At 40.6% G+C, this 19,318-nt stretch overlaps 1 protein-coding gene, 1 pseudogene and 1 further gene across 3 annotated transcripts; all 3 read right to left on the bottom strand.

The window, feature by feature from the left end:
• PCDHB@ (protocadherin beta cluster) overlaps positions 1 to 19,318 on the bottom strand; it is a 197,972-nt gene that overhangs the window by 83,739 nt on the left and 94,915 nt on the right.
• On the bottom strand, positions 6,566 to 9,845 carry PCDHB17P (protocadherin beta 17 pseudogene; annotated as a pseudogene). The gene has a single exon (NR_001280.2). The product of NR_001280.2 is annotated as a protocadherin beta 17 pseudogene (transcript).
• Positions 12,340 to 15,570, bottom strand: PCDHB6 (protocadherin beta 6). Of its 2 annotated transcripts, NM_001303145.2 has the most exons (2): positions 15,338 to 15,570; positions 12,340 to 15,132 (listed from the first exon to the last, which is right to left on the bottom strand). In NM_001303145.2, exon 2 carries the CDS (start codon positions 14,959 to 14,961, stop codon positions 12,985 to 12,987), a length of 1,977 nt encoding a protein of 658 aa, NP_001290074.1. In that variant the 5' UTR covers positions 14,962 to 15,132; positions 15,338 to 15,570; the 3' UTR covers positions 12,340 to 12,984. The 2 variants fall into 2 exon arrangements, with proteins under 2 accessions (NP_001290074.1, NP_061762.2); NM_018939.4 differs by having other exon boundaries at positions 12,340 to 15,570.

Genomic DNA, 19,318 nt, shown 5'->3' with positions numbered 1-19,318 from the left:
ATTTGTGTAAGTACACTCTATGATGTTGGAGCAATAATGAAATTGCCTAATGACACAGCTTTCAGAATGTATTTCTGCTATTAAGCAATGAATGGCTGTGTATATATTTGTCTAAGCCCATAAGATAAAGAGCCCTCTTTGTGAAGAGAGTACTGTCTAGTGGAGAGGGGAGATTATTGATTTGTCTGAGTACTCCGTACTCAGTTGATGAAACACTGGATTCAATGGATTCAAAGGAAAAATAGCCTAATTAATATATAATTGAAATGGTGGAAAAACTGAATCTTCAGGTTGAATAAACAATAGACAGAGCTTGTCATTTCTGAAAACGATAGTATCAATAATTCATATGACCCTCCTAAGGAAAACAAAATATAATGGACAAAACTTAAGAAAAACTTCAAAACTAATGAAGAGTCAAAAACATAGTAGAAAATGGCAGAAAAAGCCCAATTTTTATGGAAGCCTGTAAGAGAGGGGTAAACAGAGTATCAGAACAACAAAACTTCTTATGCTCTCAGGGCATTTAAAAATATTTGTACTCAGGCTTTGATCTGAAGCTGTGGGATTAAAGAAATATAAATCAAGGCTCAGGTGTAACCACAGTTGCAGCATATTATAGAAAGATCCTCTTCATATTAAGGGACCACTCAGGGATACATCCATAATGTAAATACAGTGTAAACACCAGCAAATCTAAACCTGCCCTCAGCCTCTAACTCCAGGGAATTATATAGAAGTCTCCCTGATTTTAAGCAGAGAAGAAGAAAAAGAAAAAAAAAACATGCCTGGGAAGTTGTACCTACATATTGTGTGTGTGTGTGTGTGTGTGTTTGTGTGTGTGTATTGAGATGGGGTCTTACCCTACTGCCTAGGTGGGTATAGAACTCCTGAGCTCAAGTGATCTTCCCACCTCAACCTCCTGAGTAGCTGGGACTACAGGCCCACACCACTGCACGTGGCCCTCTTGTGTATTTGTATTTTGAATATACATAGGTTGAGATGCAAGGAACCTCAAGCCATTTAATTAATTTGTGATAGTCCACTATTGATAGTGTTTCCAATATCCTGGCTGAAACAAATGAAAATCCATTTTGATAGTTGGAACATGTGCAACCTAGGCTTTGTAGATACCCTACAAATAAATTTTCAAGGGCAATCAACCATGCACATCCTACAAAGAAACAAAGACATCATGAATGAGAAGGAGCAGAAACAAAATAGAGTAGGCATAGGCCCACACAAACTTCAGATATTAGAACTATAAGGCAGATTTTAAAACAAAATATACTTACCATATATAAATAAATAAATGATATACTTGAAAATATCTGCATGAACAGATTGAAAAGGCACGCTGAGTTCCAGGGAAAAGTAATGTGTAATTACCATAATCAAGACATAATCTGATAAAGATAATGAATTTCAAGGATAGAAAACAAGTTACCTACAGGTGAAGCAAACAGGCTTCAGTATTTCCCTGAGCAACATTTAATACCAAAACAGAATGGAAATGTCTACAAGATTCTGAGGGAAATAAATTATGGCTCAATTATTTTACACATAGCCAAGCTGTTGCTCAAGTACAAAGACAACAATGCAGCAAACAGGAAAGAATTCATTAACCCTTGTGCTAGTACTGATGAATTCTTTTTGAAAAAAATACTACTTAAGGATAAAAATCAAGTGACTTATAGATGACTGTAGAAACTATGATAGAAGAACTAATGTTATATTTAATGTCAACAAATCTTTGATGAAAAGAAAGTCCATTGAAAAATTTTATACCCAGCTAAATTGTATTTCTCAAGCATGTGAAAAAATACAGCACCTATGAACTCTTATCTAAAGACTGACATCTGATGAAATCAAGCAAATCGAGATAAAACAACATAAATGATTCAGGTACAGGAAAACTAGCACAATATGACTGACAGTAAGGACTGTATTTTACTCTAGTTTGAGCACACTAGTGTTTCTCAATTTTTTCCTGAAACTTTATGTAAATGATAGAGGGCAAGGGTTTAAAATAAACAAAGCTATAAAGACAAAAATAATGGAGAAGAATAAATCGCAGGGGAGAGAAGTCACAAAAATTTTGGAAGATGCAAAGCACACAGACAATTGGTAACTGACAGTTTTCTTTTTTTTTCTTTTTTCTTGTTGCTCTCAAATGAAAAGGAGGAAAATTAATAAGAAAATCAAATGTAGCCATAGTAATAATCCAGACTGAGGACCCAGGGAGAGGCTAAAAATAACATTGGCTGAAGATCTATATAAGGAGTACTTATATCTGAGAATTCCTTTCCTACTCAGCGAAGCAAGGCACTTTCCCTTTTCTCATCATGGCAGAAAATAGGAGGTGTAATATCCATAGTGGTTTAATAGGAAGGGCTCTGGACTGAAGGACATGAGCACAACTTAGGGCAGGACTGAGATCTTAGTGAGAAAGTGGGTTAAAAAAAATTAAGACACTTTCTCTCAAACCAAGGAGCTTACAAAGTGCTAGGTGTCAAGTTTATAATAACTTCCATCCTACCCATCCTTACTGAATTTCTCTCTGAAGAACAATGTGAGCCCAAGAGAGAAGACTTACAGATATTGACCTTTTGTCTCCAAATGTTTCCTGTTTCATTACCCTAAGGTGAGGTCCACCACTCAACTAGTCCCACCCAAACATACAATGTTTATCAGCTTTTAAGTGCCTTATTTTATAAAAGGAAAAAATACACCGGGCACGGTGGCTCACGCCTGTAATCCCAGCACTTTGGAAGGCTGAGACGGGTGGATCACCTGAGGTCAGGAGTTTGAGACCAGCCTGGCCAACATGGTGAAACCTCATCTCTACTAAAAATACAAAAAATCAGCCAGGCGTGGTGGCAGGCGCCTGTAATCCCAGCTACTTGGGAGGCTGAGGCAGGAGAATCACTTGAACCCAAGAGGCAGAGGTTGCAGTGAGCTGAGATTGCACCACTGCACTCCAGTCTGGGCGACAGAGCGAGATTCTGTCTCAAAAAAAAGAAAACGATACATAATTGGGCTTCATCAAAATTTTAAAAAATCTTTTTTACTTCAGAGGACACTACCAATAAAGTGAAAACACAACTCACAGAATGGCAGAAAGTATTTGTAAATCATGTATCTGATAAGAGTCTAGTATCCAGAACATATAAAGAACTACTAACATTCAACAATTAAAATATTAAAAAATTAGATAACTGGCAAAGAATTTGAGTATACATTTCTTTAAAGAAGATACTCAAATGAACAATAAGCATATGAAAAGAAATATAACATGATTAGTCATTTGGGAAATGCAATTCAAACCATAATAGGATACTACTTCACACCTTCTAAGATGGCTATAATAACAAAAAATAAGTGTTGGTGAGGATGTAGACAAATTGGAACCCTCATACACTGTTGAGAGGAATGTAAAATGGTATAGTCACTTTGGAAAACAGTTTGACAGTTCCTCAAAAAGTTATATAGAGTCAGTATGTGACCCAGTAATTCCATTCCTAGGTATACACCCAAGAGAAATGAAAACATGTTCACACAAAAACTCATACATGAATGTTCCTAGCAGCATTATTCATAATAGCAAATAGTGGAAACAAACCCGAATGCCCACCAATTGATGAACAAACAAAATGTGGTACATTCATACAATGGGATATTATTTAGCCATAGAAAAGAATGAAGTGCTGATGCATGCTGTAACATGAATGAACCTTGAAAACATTATGTTAAGTGTAAGAAGCCAGACATATTCTATGATTCAATTTACACGAAATGTCTAGAACAGGCAAATCCAAAGAAACATAAAGTTGATTAGTGGTTTCCAGGGGCTGGAAGGAGGAGGGAATGGGGAGTGACTGCTTAAGGGTACCAGGTTTCTTCTTTGTGCTGATGAAAATGTGAAAAATGTTCTAGAATTAGATAGTGGTAATAATTGTACAGCCCTTGGAATATACTAAAAACCACCAAACTCAATTTTTAAAAAAGTGAATATTATGGTATGTGAATTATAGCTCACCAAAGAATTTTAAAACTGCAAGGCTACTATAGAAAGAAATATGCAGAGACCAAGAAAAAGCTTTCTGAAAGTAAAACTATGATAGCAAAAGCTTAAAATTTAGCCATAGAGGAAATTTACTGGAATCCAGGAAAATAAAGACAGAAGATAGAACAAGAATAAGAAAAATTAAATATCAAACCAGGTCAGTATACAATTAACAGAAATTGCAGAATAAAAAACCAAAAACCATTTAGTAGGGGAAATAATTTTTTAATTAAAAAAAACCCTAACAATCCTGTTCTAGTCTGAAGAACATGTCTCAAGATTGTCAAGTCTCATTGAGTAACTAGTGCAATAAATGACCAAAATTCTTATAGTATGACACAGTGACGAAATTCTAGAACACTGGAGGTACATACAAGAACCTCAATTTATCTGGATTAAGGTTTCTCAGCCTCAGCACTGTTGGCAGCTGTGACCATCAAAAATGTTTCCAGACATTGCCAAATGTTTGATAATTGCCAGACATTTACCAAAGGTGGCAAAATTGCCATTGGTTGAGAATCAGGGATCTAGAAGGAAAACAAAGTTTCTCAGAAAAGAATGGGTAATATCTCAACTTTGGTGATTAGAAGACAACAGAGGAATGTCTTCAAAATACTAGCAGCAAATAATTCCTAACCTATAATTCCACACCCAACAAAATCTTCAAATAGACATTTGCGTTTCTGACATCTGAAATTTTTATATTCATATGATCAAAAGATTTATTACCAAATATTCTTCTGACAGTTAAGGGAGAAAACCAAACAAGAGGAAGATGTAAAATCCAGAAGAGGAAATCAAATGGAAGAGGAAGATAAACTCCCAAGTTAGTGGGAAAAGCAAACTGCCAGCTGTGCAGTAGGTCTAGAGAGCAAACAATGTACAATGGAACAAGACTCTGAATAGCTCCAGGATGGCTCCAGGAGAAAAGAATGGAACCGATAAATTTCTTTATGAGTTTAACCTAAGTTAGGAGCTTCAGGCTTTACAAAATTTGTGGGTAATTTTAAAAGATGTACATAGAAAAGTAGTTGAAAAAGAAGGCAATTATGACCTTAAAGGTAAAAAAAGAGGCTTTTTGTTTTTACTCTTCAGGCTTAGGTGTAAGTAACATTTTTATGGTGACAATTATATAAACATTATCTAAACAGAATTTTGATATTGCTAGGTAGAGGAAATGTCCGAGTTGTGTGTGCGTCTGTGTGTGTACCCCTTAAAAACTGGATATCTAAAACTGGGATTTGAGAAAAAGCACTTTATAAGCATATGTGATTTTTAAAAATAGGGAAGTAAATATGGGAAAACACATAAGAGCATCAAAAGTGGTTACCCTGGGCAGTCAGACTTGAATAAAATTGGAAAAAACTTTTAAATTAAAATTTAAAAAATATGAAATGCTGGCCAGGTGCAGTGGCTCACACCTGTAATCCCAGCACTTTGGGAGCCCGAGGCAGGTGGATCACCTGAGGTCAGGAGTTCGAGACCAGCCTGACCAACATGGTGAAACCCCATCTCTACTAAAAATACAGCATTAGCCAGGCATGGTGGCGCACGCCTGTCATCCCAGGTACTTGTGAGGCTGAGGCAGGAGAATCGCTTGAACCCGGGAGGTGGAGGCTGCAATGAGCCGAGATCACGCCACTGCACTCCAGCCTGGGCAACAAGAGTGAAACTCCGTCTAAAAAAAATATGAAATGCATAAACAATTATGGCAAGTATTCTTTCAAAATACATTGTAAATGTTATAAATATTGATAAGGTAATATATATTTAATACAAAAAGGATAAGTAAGTTTAAGAAAGAACGGGTATAAAATGTTTATTTGCTCATTTTTAAGCAGGCAGTTAAGTAATGCTAATGTCTTAATATGCATCTAATCTTGCTTTTTAACCTTTATAGGGACTACTTATCAAAGCTTAAGCAAGTTCTATAGTTTCACACTTCGTTTTATTGTATTCAATCTAATCATTTTTATCAGAAGCTATCAATTTATTATAGATCCATTTTATAAAATTATTTTCATCTATTACTTTATTCTTATATACATTCATTGAAATATTTTAGAATGATGTTGACTTAATGAAATTAGTTCTGATGGTGGAATAATGATGTTAATTTGCTTTCTCTTTTGTACTTACTGTATGTTTGAATCATATGATTATATTTTATTTTTATTTATTTATTTATTTTTGAGATGGAGTCTCTCTCTGTCACCCAGGCTGGATTGCAGTGGCATGATCTCAGCTCACTGCAACCTCCGCCTCCGAGGCACAAGGGATTCTCCTGCCTCAGCCTCCCAAGTAACTGGGATTACAGGCACTTGTCACCACGCCCAGCTGATTTTTGTATTTTTTAGTAGAGATGGGGTTTCAACATGTTGGCCAGGCTGGTCTCGAACTCCTGACCTCAGGTGATCCGCCCACCTTGGCCTCCCAAAGTGCTAGGATTACAGGTGTGAGCCACTGCTATATATTATTTTAAAAGAAGGAGAATCATTATTTACATACCAAAGCCATTTATTATTAAAAAAAAAGCAATCACAAGTCAACCAACCTTTTTTCTATTATTCTTTCATGTAACAGGAGTTGAATCCTTTAGAATAACAGCCGATGGTCTATAAATATCAATTTTGAAAAAAGAAATTCAGGAGAGAAAACATCACCTAGGTAAAATATTGGTTCATTTGAGGGAAGAGTAGTGTTTTTGAAACAACACAACAGAAGTGCAACAATTTACAAGATTACTAAAATTTTTGCATAAATGAAAATTATTTTTTAGGCTAAAAGCTGTGATTTACGATAGACTTAGAGTCATGCTGATGATAACCAGAAAGTTTGAAACACTATTCTCTTAATCATAACATATCAATGAACAAGTTCAAATACTGGGAACCTGAAAACACCTGTGAGTTCCAAAATCTGACCAAACAAAAACAACAACCATAGGAAACACCATTTCTCTGCTATTGTGTGCACATGCTGTAACTAACATAGCTGACAACCACCACAACAAAAATTAAAGGGAATGGAAAATAGTCCAGCAGGTTGAAATAGCTATAAATATGACAGCCATTACTAATGTGTGAATATGTGACTCTACGCGAATGAGAGAATTGGGAACTTACAGATGAATAGTGAATTCTATGATTTATCACGACCTGTTGTCAGATTCCTAATTGAACCCAAAATGATTCCTAGAGTTGGAGTTTGCCTCGCTGTCCCCACCAGTCCCTTCACCCAAGAAGTTGGGAAGTACCGGTTTAAGAAACTTTAACTGGCTCTCAGAGCTTTCTGCCAGGTAAACTTCATACTGATAATTCTGGGACAGGGTCCTGGTGCCACTCACGTCCACCAGATGCCCTGGAAAGGGGCCCTCGGGCACCGAGTAGCGACCCACCGAGGCCGCCCTGCTCCTTCTGCACAGCCGCACCGCCACGAACAGGAGCACCGAGAAGAGGAAGAGCGAAGACACCGAAGCCAACGCCACCACCAGGTAGACGGTGAGCGAGTCGGCCTGGGCCTGGGCCGGGGCCGCCTCAGGGAGAGGCAGGTAGGGCTGGGAGAAGCCGTCCACCAGGAGCACGTGCAGCGTGGCGGTGGCCGAGCGCGGAGGCTCGCCATTGTCCTTGACCAGCACCACCAGCCTGTGCTTGGCCGCGTCGCGCTCGCTCAGCAGCCTGGCGGTGCGCACCTCGCCATTGTGCGCCCACACGCCGAATAGCCCGGGCTCCGTGGCCTTGAGCAGCTGGTACGACAGCCAGGCGTTCTGGCCCGAGTCACCGTCCACCGCCACCACCTTGGTCACCAGGTAGCCCGGCTCGGCCGCCCGGGGCACCAGCTCGGTGCAGGGCGCGGAGCCGTTCTGCAGCGGGTACAGCACGAAGGGCGAGTTGTCGTTGGCGTCCAGCACACCAGCACGCGCACCAGCGCCTCGCTGCTCAAAGCCGGAGAACCGCGGTCTGAGGCGCCCACGCGGAACTCGAACTCCTGCAGGGCCTCGTAGTCCAGCGACCTGAGGGCAAACAGGTGGCCGTTGTCTGTGTTGATGGAGACCAGGGAGGCGAGGGGCAGGTGCGGGTTCTGGGGCGGCAGCAGCGAGTAGGTGACCTGAGCGTTGGTGCCTGAGTCTCTGTCTGTGGCGCTGACACTGCCGATGTGCAGGGCGGGGCTGTTGTTCTCGCGGACGAACAGGGTGTAGGAGGTTTGGGTGAAGGCGGGGGCGTTGTCATTGACGTCGGAGACCCGCAGGGTTATGTTGTACTCGGTTTTCAGCCTGGGTGTCCCCAAGTCTGTGACAGTAATGGTGATGTTGTACTCGGCCCTGCTCTCTCTGTCTAGCGCTCCTTCTGTTAACAAAGTGTAGAAATTTTCTAAGGTAGGTTTTAGAAGGAAAGGGAGATGGTCTTGGATGGAACACATCATTTTTCCATTGTTCCCGGAGTCCGGATCCGAAATTCCGAAAACAGCGACCACTGTTTCTGGGGAGTTTTCTAGGATATCACTGATAAGTAAGGACATAGTAAGTTCCGGTGCGTTGTCGTTTATATCCATTACCTCTATGGCTACGGTGCATTTTCCTGAAAGACCCCCACCGTCTGAGGCCTCAACTTCCATGTGATAAGATTGAATTTCCTCAAAATCCAACGCCTTTTTAAATCTAATTTCTCCCGTGATTGAGTTTATTTCAAAGGCCTGAATGATTTGATTGGAGTATTGAAAAAATGAATAGGAGAGCTCCCCGTGGGTCCCAGCATCTAAATCCCTGGCAGAGACGGTGATGACAAGGGAACCTATAGGGGTGTTCTCTGGGACCTGCACCTCGTAGCGCCGCTGAGCAAATTCAGGGACGTTGTCATTGATATCTACAATCACTATGAGAACCTGGGAAGTCCCAGTTCTGGGCGGTGACCCACCATCCAGCGCTGTGAGGGTTAACCTGAGCTGGGGCTGCTCCTCGCGGTCCAGCGCTTGATCCAGCACGAGCTCTGGGTATTTCTTGCCGTCGCTGTGATTGCGAGTGAAAAGGTGGAAATAGGAGTTGGTGCTAATTGAGTAGTTCTGAACTGTGTTGCTACCTACGTCCAAATCTTGAGCTATTTTCAAAGGAAATGAAGTCCCTGGATGGCTGCCTTCGGAGATTTTCAGGAGGATTTCATTTTCCAAGAATTCTGGGGCATGGTCATTTACATCTTGGAGCTGTAGTTCACCTTGAATAAACTGCACCGGATTTTTCAGTAACATCTGGAAATGTAGTATACATGGATCTATGTCACCGCACAACTCTTCCCGGTCCAATTTTTCTTTTAGGAGCAAATTCCCACTCTTCCGTTCGAGCTGCAAATACTGTTTGTTCCCTTTGGAAAGAATCCGGGCGCCTCTCGCGGCCAGTTCCCCTACACCCAGCCCCAGATCTTTTGCTAAGTTGGCCACAAAAGAGCCGCTGTCCCTCTCTTCTAGAACTGAATACTTAATCGTAGCGCTGCCCGCCTCCCACAGTAGTAATAAGAAAATAATGGCGGTCACTTGCCTTTTCTCTGGTGCTTTGGGGAGCGGCGTCTCCATCATTCCTCAGGGTCCAAAAGATGCAGTATTTAATCACAAAATAATTGCTTTACAGCCAACTCAGCTATCTTGATTTAAATATCTTGAGTTAGTTCTTTTTAACATTGACCGACATGGGATGGCTGCCTCTCTGAAACCTATCCCCAGTAGTGAAAAAGTGTTTCCTTTTGGAGCTGCCAGAAAACCCGCACAGCTTTTAAGGAGACACTGATTCTGCAGTTTTTCACTCAGCCTGCAGCGCCACCAAGCGTTCTGCTTTACAACTTCAGATAATTTTCATTTCAAAGCACACTGTATACTGTAATAGCTAAAACATATAGCAGGCCTTTTAGGTCATAGCCTGTTATATACTCCCTTTTCCCCCGGCTATTATGAGGCCTTGTTCAGGTAGCTAAGAATGGTTGTTACAGCAAAAGTAATGTCTGTATCTATATTCATCTTCCTTATAAAGGTGCAGGTTCAGTACACAAAACTCTGCTCCAGGCAAATTCATTTATTAACAAGTATTTACCTGTAGGGACATTCATGTAGCTTCCTGGGATAATACAGTAAATGAAACATAAAAATTCTTGCTCTTGGGGAATTTACATTCTATTACAAAAATGCTAATTTGTTCTATTGTACTGGAAGAAATCATGAACTTTCAAAATCTAGTTTCATTCTCATATTGTAATGTGCCTGTAACTCCCGAAAGAAAATAAAAATATTGTTTCTTGTTAGTCTCTGGTCTACATAACCATTGGGAATTTTTTGTTTTTTTTTTTTGAGACGTGGTCTCACTCTGTTGCCCAGGCTGGAGTGCAGTGGCCTCAATCTTGGCCCACTGCAACCTCTACCTCCCAGGTTCAAGCGATTCTCCTGACTCAGCCTCCTGAGAAGCTAGGACTACAGGTGCGTGCTACCACACCAGGCTAATTTTTGTAGTTTTAGTAGACATGACATTTCACCATATTGGCCAGGATGGTCTTGAACTCCTGGCCTCAAGTGATCTGCCTGCCTCGGCCTCCCAAAGTGCTGGGATTACAGGCTTGAGCTACCATACCTGGCCACCATTTAGGACTTTTTTTCCTTCATAAATTTATTATGTGCAATGCCCAGTGAAATTTAGAGAAAATGGTGGTTTGTCTTATTAAAAATCAATATAGGCCAGGTGTGGTGGCTCACGCCTGTAATCCCAGCACTTTGGGAGGCTGAGGTGGGTGGATCACTGGAGGCCAAGAGTTTGAGACCAGCCTGGCCAATATGGTGAAACCTCGTTTCTACTAAAAATATAAAAATTAATTGGGTGTGGTGGTGCACACCTGTAGTCCCAGCTACTCAGGAGGCTGAGGCAGAAGAATCACTTGAACCTGGGAGGTGGATGTTGCAGTGAGCTGAGATTGTGCCACTGCATTTCAGCCCGGGTGACAGAGCAAGACTCTGTCTCAAAAAAAAAAAAAAAAAATCAATATAAGCTCAGAATCTAGGCAATGTCTTTTCTACAGATGTAAAGAAGACAACAAAGTTGACAAAGTCAAAAATACACTGTCTGGGGAAGGGTATTGACCTGTCTGCATTGGACAGTATACTACCCCAGTGTACATTCTCTAGGATTAGGGGGATGGGGATATTGAAAAACACTACTGCTCCAACTAAAGCCAAGTGACTGGAGTGAGAACAATGGAAGAAGGAATCTCACCAAGGAAGAATGCTGTTCTAAGGAGAATAGGGTATATATCTGAGAACACAAAATAGTAAATGTTCCCCACACTCATTTAATCAGTTGGTAATCATCCATGACAGTCAGTTCACTTATCTGGACACAAAACACAGTCAAATGTAATTTAGTTCAGCCCAGTTCCACTTCAATTAAGGATAAAAATAAAATAGTCAGCCAGGTGTGGTGGCTCACACCTGTAATCCCAGCGCTTTGGGAGGCTGAGGCGGGTGGATCATGAGGTCAGGAATTCGAGACCAGCCTGGTCAAGATGGTGAAACCCTGTCTCTCCTAAAAATACAAAAATTAGCTGGGTTTGGTGGCATGCGCCTGTAATCTTAGTTACTAAGGAGGCTGAGGCAGGAGAATCACTTGAACCAGGGAGGCGGAGGTTGCAGTGAGCGAAGATCGCACCATTACAGTCCAACCTGGGCAACAAGAGCAAAACTCCGTCTCAAAATAAAATAAAATAGTCACTGAATTGTTATTTTAATATACATTGCTTGCCTTTGATAGAAAGTTGAAAGAGGGATTTTTAAATGAAATATCACAAATACAGCTGACACAAATAAGACTAGATATGGGCTAAACTGTGAAGGTAAATGGTGTAATGGTTAATACAAGCAAATGATGCTTACACAACACTAGAAGGGAAAATCTGATGTTACCGAATAACCTGCCACTAATACCTTACTTAGATCTTGGTAGATATCAAACATCTTGAGAAAGTGAGAGGAGGAGTTTGGCAAATATAATTTGAAATCTTTCAACTTTCAAATTGTGAGACAAAGAAAAAAAGATAAAATATGCTGTTAAGCATTTTATTTTCTGTAGCGGTGTGTAGGGTGAGTAGAAGAGTCAAAGCTGTTTTCTGTTTTGAAGGAAAGCAACAGTGATTTGACTAAGAAGTGATATTTCATACTTTCACTCATTGGTAAGGATATTTTATTGTAGAGAGGATATTAGCATTTCGCTGTAGATACAATAGTTTTTTTAAAAAATCAATACTAGAATGTTAGTAACATTCAGCAAATATTTATTAAGCACTTATAATTGGCACGACTTTTTTTTTAAAAAAAGACCATCATGTTCTTACATGAGGCTCACAAACTAATGTGTTGACACTTCAGTAAAGTCTATAGTCACAAAAATTTTGGATTGACTATTATGGGATACTAAAATATGCATAAGTATGAATGGCTACTTTAGTGTTTAGCCATCATTAGTTCTTATTTTTAGTGTTACACACTGTAGGAGTTACTGCAAAATGAGACATTGGAGGATTAAATAATATCAGATACTCACATTTTAAACAGTCCTACATAGCAATAGTGAAACAACTCTTACCAATAGCTAGAAATACAATTTTACTTAAGGATTTACAATACTTTTTTTTGGGGGGGGGAAGAATAGATAATTTAATTTCAAAAGCTTAAAATTATGCAAATAAAAATTTACTTTTTGTTCATATTGTCAAGTACCCTCAAGTGAAGTAATAAACTACTAAGCATGAACAGGAAATACTAAGATACCAGTATCTTACTTTATATAAAATTTCAACCTAAAGAATAGAGGTAAAATAAACAAGAAACAGACCATGTAACTTTAAGTTAAAAGAGATCTCCAAACATAAGTAAGATTTAGTAAAATAATCCCACACTTAACTGAACGGGAAGCTATTCCGAGAGGTGGGGGTTTCTTCCATTTCTCTCTCAGTGCCCTGAGGAGGGAAGTTGGGCATAATCGGCTTCAGGAACTTGAACTCATTTGTTTCTGAGCCTCCCGTCAGACACACCTTGTACTGGTAGCTCTGGGATAGGGTCCCGGTGCCGCTCACATCCACCAGATGCCCTGGAAAGGGACCCTCGGGCACCGAGTAGCGACCCACCGAGGCCGCCCTGCTCCTCCTGCACAGCCGCACCGCCACGAACAGGAGCACCGAAAAGAGGAAGAGCGACGACACCGAGGCCAACGCCACCACCAGGTAGACGGTGAGAGAGTCGGCCTGGGCTTGGGCCGGGGCCGCCTCAGGGAGAGGCAGGTAGGGCTGGGAGAAGCCGTCCACCAGGAGCACGTGCAGCGTGGCGGTGGCCGAGCGCGGAGGCTCGCCATTGTCCTTGACAAGCACCACCAGCCTGTGCTTGGCTGCGTCTCGCTCGCTCAGCAGCCTGGCGGTGCGCACCTCGCCATTGTGCGCCCACACGCCGAACAGACCGAGCTCCGTGGCCTTGAGCAGCTGGTACGACAGCCAGGCGTTCTGGCCCGAGTCGCCGTCCACCGCCACCACCTTGGTCACCAGGTAGCCCGGCTCGGCCGCCCGGGGCACCAGCTCGGTGCAGGGCGCGGAGCCGTTCTGCAGCGGGTACAACACGAAGGGCGAGTTGTCGTTGGCGTCCAGCACCAGCAAGCGCACCAGCGCCTCGCTGCTCAACGCCGGGGAGCCGCGGTCTGTGGCGCCCACGCGGAACTCGAAAGACTGCAGGGCCTCGTAGTCCAGCGACCTGAGGGCAAACAGGTGGCCGTTGTCCGCGTTGATGGAGACCAGGGAAGAGAGGGGCAGGTGCGGGTCCTGGGGCGGCAGCAGCGAGTAGGTGACCTGGGCGTTGATGCCTGAGTCTCTGTCTGTGGCGCTGACGCTGCCGATGTGCAGGGCGGGGCTGTTGTTCTCGCGGACGAACAGGGTGTAGGAGGTTTGGGTGAAGGCGGGGGCGTTGTCATTGACGTCGGAGACCTGCACAGTTATGCTCTGCTGGGTTTTCAGCCTTGGTGTCCCCAAATCAGTGACCGTGATAGTGATGTTGTACTCGGCTCTGCTCTCTCTGTCCAGCGCGCCTTCTGTTACCAGGGTGTAGAAATTCTCCACGGAAGGTCTTAGTAGAAAGGGGAGATTGTTCTCTATTGAACAAATAACCTGTTGGTTATGTCCAGAGTCTGCATCTGAAACACTGAAAACTGCCACTGTGATCTCTGGTAAGTTTTCTGGGATGAGGCTGATGAAGAACGACATGGTGAGTTCAGGGGCATTGTCATTCACGTCCAGGACCCTGACGACTAAAGAGCATTTTCCTGATAGGCCTCCACCATCTGTAGCCTCAACATCCACGTCATAAGACTGAATTTCCTCAAAATCCAAAGCCTTTCTCAGCCGAATTTCTCCTGTGATTGCGTTTATTTCGAAGGGTTGGTTGACGTCATCGACTTGAAACAGGGCGTAAGATACCTTCCCAAACGATCCTGCATCTAAATCTCTGGCTGAGACGGTAATAACCAGAGAGCCGAGGGGGTTGTTCTCAGGGACTTGTGCTTCATAGAGCTCCTGAGCAAACTCGGGGACGTTGTCATTGATGTCCAAAACCTGGATCTGAATCTCGGAGGTCCCTGACCGGGGCGGAGACCCGCCATCCAGCGCGATCAGCGTTAGCCTGAGTTGGGGCTGCTCCTCGCGGTCCAACGGTTTGTCTAGCACCAGCTCCGGGAACTTCCTGCCTTCGCTGCGATTGCGGGTGAGAACGTGGAAGTGAGGGTTGGAGCTGATTGTGTACCTCTGAAGGCCGTTGCTGCCGGTGTCTAAATCGTGTGCCATTTTCAAAGGAAATATCTTTCCTGGCATAGTAATTTCTGATATTTTCAGGAGCATTTCTCTGGCAGGGAATTCCGGGGCGTGGTCATTTATATCTCTGACTCGCAAGGAAGCCTGAAAAAACTGCAAGGGGTTTTCCAGTAACACTTGGAAAGGTAGCACACACGGCTCAGTGGAGCCACACAGCTCCTCCCGGTCCAGTTTTTCATTTAGCAGTAAATCATGGGTCTGTGGATCAAACTGCAAATGTTGTCTGTTCCCTTTGAAAACAACCCGAGCGCCCCGCGAAGCCAGCTCCCCCACCCTCAGTCCCAGGTCCTTTGTCAAGTTGGCCACAAACGTGCCACTTTCTGTCTCCTCCAATACGGAATACTGAATCGATTCAGAACCCACCTCTCCCCAAAGCATCAATAAAATGAAGAAAGCCACTTGCCTTTTCTTGTTCTGTACTTTAGTTTGCATCATGTCTATTATGTCTGAATACGGAAGAAAAATCCTTTTCAGCTCCCAATCACCACATCTACCGTCGACCCTCTCGGATGTCTTTGCAGAGATTTTTAAATTCGTTCTTACAACTTGTCTGGCGACGACTGCCTTCCCGGACACATCTATCTCAGCTTTAGCTGTAAACGTGGTCTGTATTTTTACTTGGCTTCTGGATGAAACGGAGTCCACCGAGTCTGCAGAGCTTTCATTCACTCTCTTAGCTTGTACCGCCACCACGCGTTCAAACTAATAACTTCATGAGATGTTTTCAGGTCAATAGCATTTCAGAAATCTGAGCATTATAAAGACTTTTAAGTCGAGTCAGTGTTTCTCAAACTGAGTGCGTGGACCGCATGCATAAATAATTGCTTGCGAGCGTTGGTTTTTTTGTGTGTATGTTTTTGTTTTTAAGCCAATTCCTGGGTTCACTCCCCTCTAGAACTTGAATCAAATTCCCTGGTGGTGCTAATTAAGGAGAAAGATTGAAGTGCAGATTCTACACTTCAGTCTTTCTCCTTTGATGCTTCAGCAGTGCAATTTATCTCTGATGAACTATTTAATCTATTAGTCCAAGAGGTACACTATTTAATTGTCCCAACAAACAATGCAAAACAACGAAGTTTGTTAGCAACAATAATGGTAAAATAAACAATAAATTATCTAAATTATATGACTCATAAATGGCATGAAAAAAAAAACCTACTTTGTTATATAGTTATGCCTGCACAGTAAAAAGAACAATTAGGCTATTAGGAGGAAAACTGAGGCCAAGAAGTACGTATGATACATGTATCTAAGTAAATTAAAGTATTTAAAAGAGGGACTAGAAGCAATCAAGTAGTTGTCATAAGCATTTTAGGATTCTACTCCATTTTTGCATGGATAGAATTAGACATTGTTTTAACAGTCTTGTGCATTTTATTTTTTGATCAAATTCCCCTCTTACATTATTTAATCAAGGTCCAAATATATTACCGTGTTGTACAAACATGATGCAACACAGAAAACAAACATTCAAGAATCACCTTCACCGTCTTCTCACAGCAAAAAGAACACCAAGTCCAATAAATACAGGCCAAATTAAGGTACTGTTAAAACAGGTGAGTTACATTTGAGTGAATGCCATGGAATTCAATGATGGAATATTATGGCTATATCCATTCCCATCTCACTAGTTTCTACTCAGATACATTGGAACATGTATCTCTAAACAAACTGAAAATGTGTGAAATAGATTAGTGCACATAGAAGAGGTAAAATATGCCAAACAATTCAATTCATTTCAGATTAATTTCATATTTATTGAGAGGTGAAATCAATTGAGTTCAAACAAAGTTCACTTCAGGTAAGGGCCAAGGTGATAGAAGATTAAAAATCAAGATATTTTCAAATACATAAATGCTAGGCAAAACAAATAAGGCTAAATAAAATCTAAACTCTGAATAGCTGAGATGATCTTGTAGTTCAAAATCACCTCTATGTAGCCAGAAAAACAAAAGATTATGAATGTGACCAGCCTCCAGGGTTCACTTGATAGATGCTACTGGGAACACACTGTTCCTTGAGAATGTAACAAAATGAAATTATGAAATAAACCAACAATAATAAACATATTGGACTGGTGTCATCTCTTTGCTGAAACAAGGCCATTATTTCCTGCTCAATCTTAAATGCTTCCTTCTTTCGGTGAGCATTCTGAGTTCTGATTCCAGCTTAACGGCATCCACAAAGTCTTTTATTCACTCTGTTTCTCTGAAGCACCACCAGGCATCCTCGAATATAGGTTGTTGAATTATTTTTTTACGTCAGAGCAAATTTATCAGCAGTACAGTATTTGTCAAACTCCATTTAGATCCTTGAAATGTCTTTGATAACATTGGTAGTTATATAGAAAGAGGATAATAGCTCAAAGTACCCCAAAAAGATATCAGTTGGGTCTATCAAGAAACTGCCTTTTTATAGAAAATGGATTACGTTAGATTGTTTCAGGAGAATGTTTCTCTGTGTTGCCCTCTTTTGCTTTGATTTGATTGACTAGAGTAGAGTTGAATTAAGTTTGCATTCGTAAACATGTTCTCACAAGGACTCATTAACTTAAAATTTTTATTATGGAAAAATTCTAACATATACAAAGTAAACAGAATAAGCCTCTGTACACAATCAGTTTCACAACATTCTGTTGTCTTGTTTTGTCTATACCTTTCTCTCCATTCTCTGCTTCCCGCTTAATGATTACTTTTGTATAGTTCTTTTCTTAAGGCAATGTTTACAGAAATTGAAATGCACCAATCTTAACTGTACCATTTTAACAAATGGATTCATGTGTGTAACTCACACTTTTTTCAAGATACGGAACATTTTCATCATTCACTGGAAATCATCTTAATCATATTTTGAAGCTCAGTTTTGTTAACTGGGGAGCAAAACCTTGGTCTCATCTGGACACATGATGGAAAAGTAGACAATGTGAAAAAGCACCATGCCCCATATTCTTTATGCTCATGTATGCTAAAGTGAAGTGATAGATTAATTTAGCTGGACTGTTACCAGCAAGCTGAAATAGTATTTCAACTGACTGAACATTGTAAAGTATGTTAAAATTAATTTTATTTAGTTAGCCTGTAATGACAGGTTGAACAGCCCTTGTCCAAAATGCTTGAGACCAGAAGTGTTTCAGATTTCAGATTTTTTAGATATTAGAATATTTGCATGTACATACCGGGATATCTTGGTAATGAAAACCAAGTCTAAACATGAAATTCATTTAAGTTTCATATACATCTTATACAAATAGGCTGAAGGTAATTTTGCTTAATATTTTTAAACAATTTTGTGCATGAAACAAAGTTTGCATTACGTACTTATGTGTGGAATTTTCTACTTGTGGCATCAGGTTGGCTCAAAAAGTTTTGGGTTTTGGAGCAGTTCCTATTTTTGGATTTTTGGATTAGGGATGCCCAACCTGTACCTGTACTACATAGCTGATCAAGCTGATTTCCATTTTATGTTTCAGTTAATCCCATTATAATTTTAAAAAATTATTCAAGTTTATCAAAAGAGAAAGGAAAAGACCTTCAAGGACAAATTGAATCTCTTAAAACTCTTCTTTAGTTATATAGAAAGAAAAACATAGTAATACAGGGAAAAGTTAGAGATGATATATAAGCAATCACTTAAAGAAACTCAATTAACAGGAGATATGTTGCAAGGAAGTTGAAAATATAAAGGATTTGATACTAAATCACATTTGAAATCTGAAATGATTGGGTAAGACTTTTTGTCAGTATTGCTAGAGGTTTGTCATTTTTTAAAATGTTTTTCAAAGAACCAGTTCTTTGTTTCTTTATTGCTTTCTCTATTTGCTTTGAATTTTCTTGATTTCTTCTATTATCTTTGTTATTTCCTTATTTCTGAATGCTTTGGGTTTATTTTCCTCATCTTTTTCTAGATTCTCGAGGTAGAAGCTTGAAACTGATAAACTGGTGGGTGACCAGTTTGAGAATTTTCCTCTTTTCTAATGTACATATTTAGTGCTATAAAATTTTCCTCTCTGCACTGTGTTAGCTATGTCTCACAAAATTTGATGTGTTGTATTTTCACTTTCAATTCAGGTCAATGTATTTTTAAATTTCCCTTGAGATATTCTTTTTGATTCATAGATTATTTAGAAGTATGTTGCTACATATCCGTGCACTTGAAGGTTTTCCTCTTATCTTTCCATTATTCATTTTTAGTTTAATTTCATTGTGCGTAGAGAACCCACTCTGTACGATTTCACTATTAATTTGGTTGAGGTCAGTTTTACGGCTGAGGTTGTGGTTATCTTATACAGGTTCTGTGAGCATTTGAAAATAATGTGTATTCTGGTATTGTTTATTCTGGTGTATTCTAGTATTTTTTATTCTGGTGTATTCTAGTATTTTTTATT

The sequence above is a fragment of the Homo sapiens genome, chromosome 5, assembly GCF_000001405.40.
Source record: "Homo sapiens chromosome 5, GRCh38.p14 Primary Assembly".
NCBI lineage: Eukaryota > Metazoa > Chordata > Mammalia > Primates > Hominidae > Homo > Homo sapiens.
Note: the sequence above shows the minus strand (reverse complement) of the source record. Positions and strands in the feature narration are given on the sequence as shown.

What these genes read in the sequence shown, in the direction of transcription:
- PCDHB6 (NM_018939.4), bottom strand. Translation starts at nt 15,369, where the DNA reads ATGATGCAAACTAAAGTACAGAACAAGAAAAGGCAAGTGGCTTTCTTC.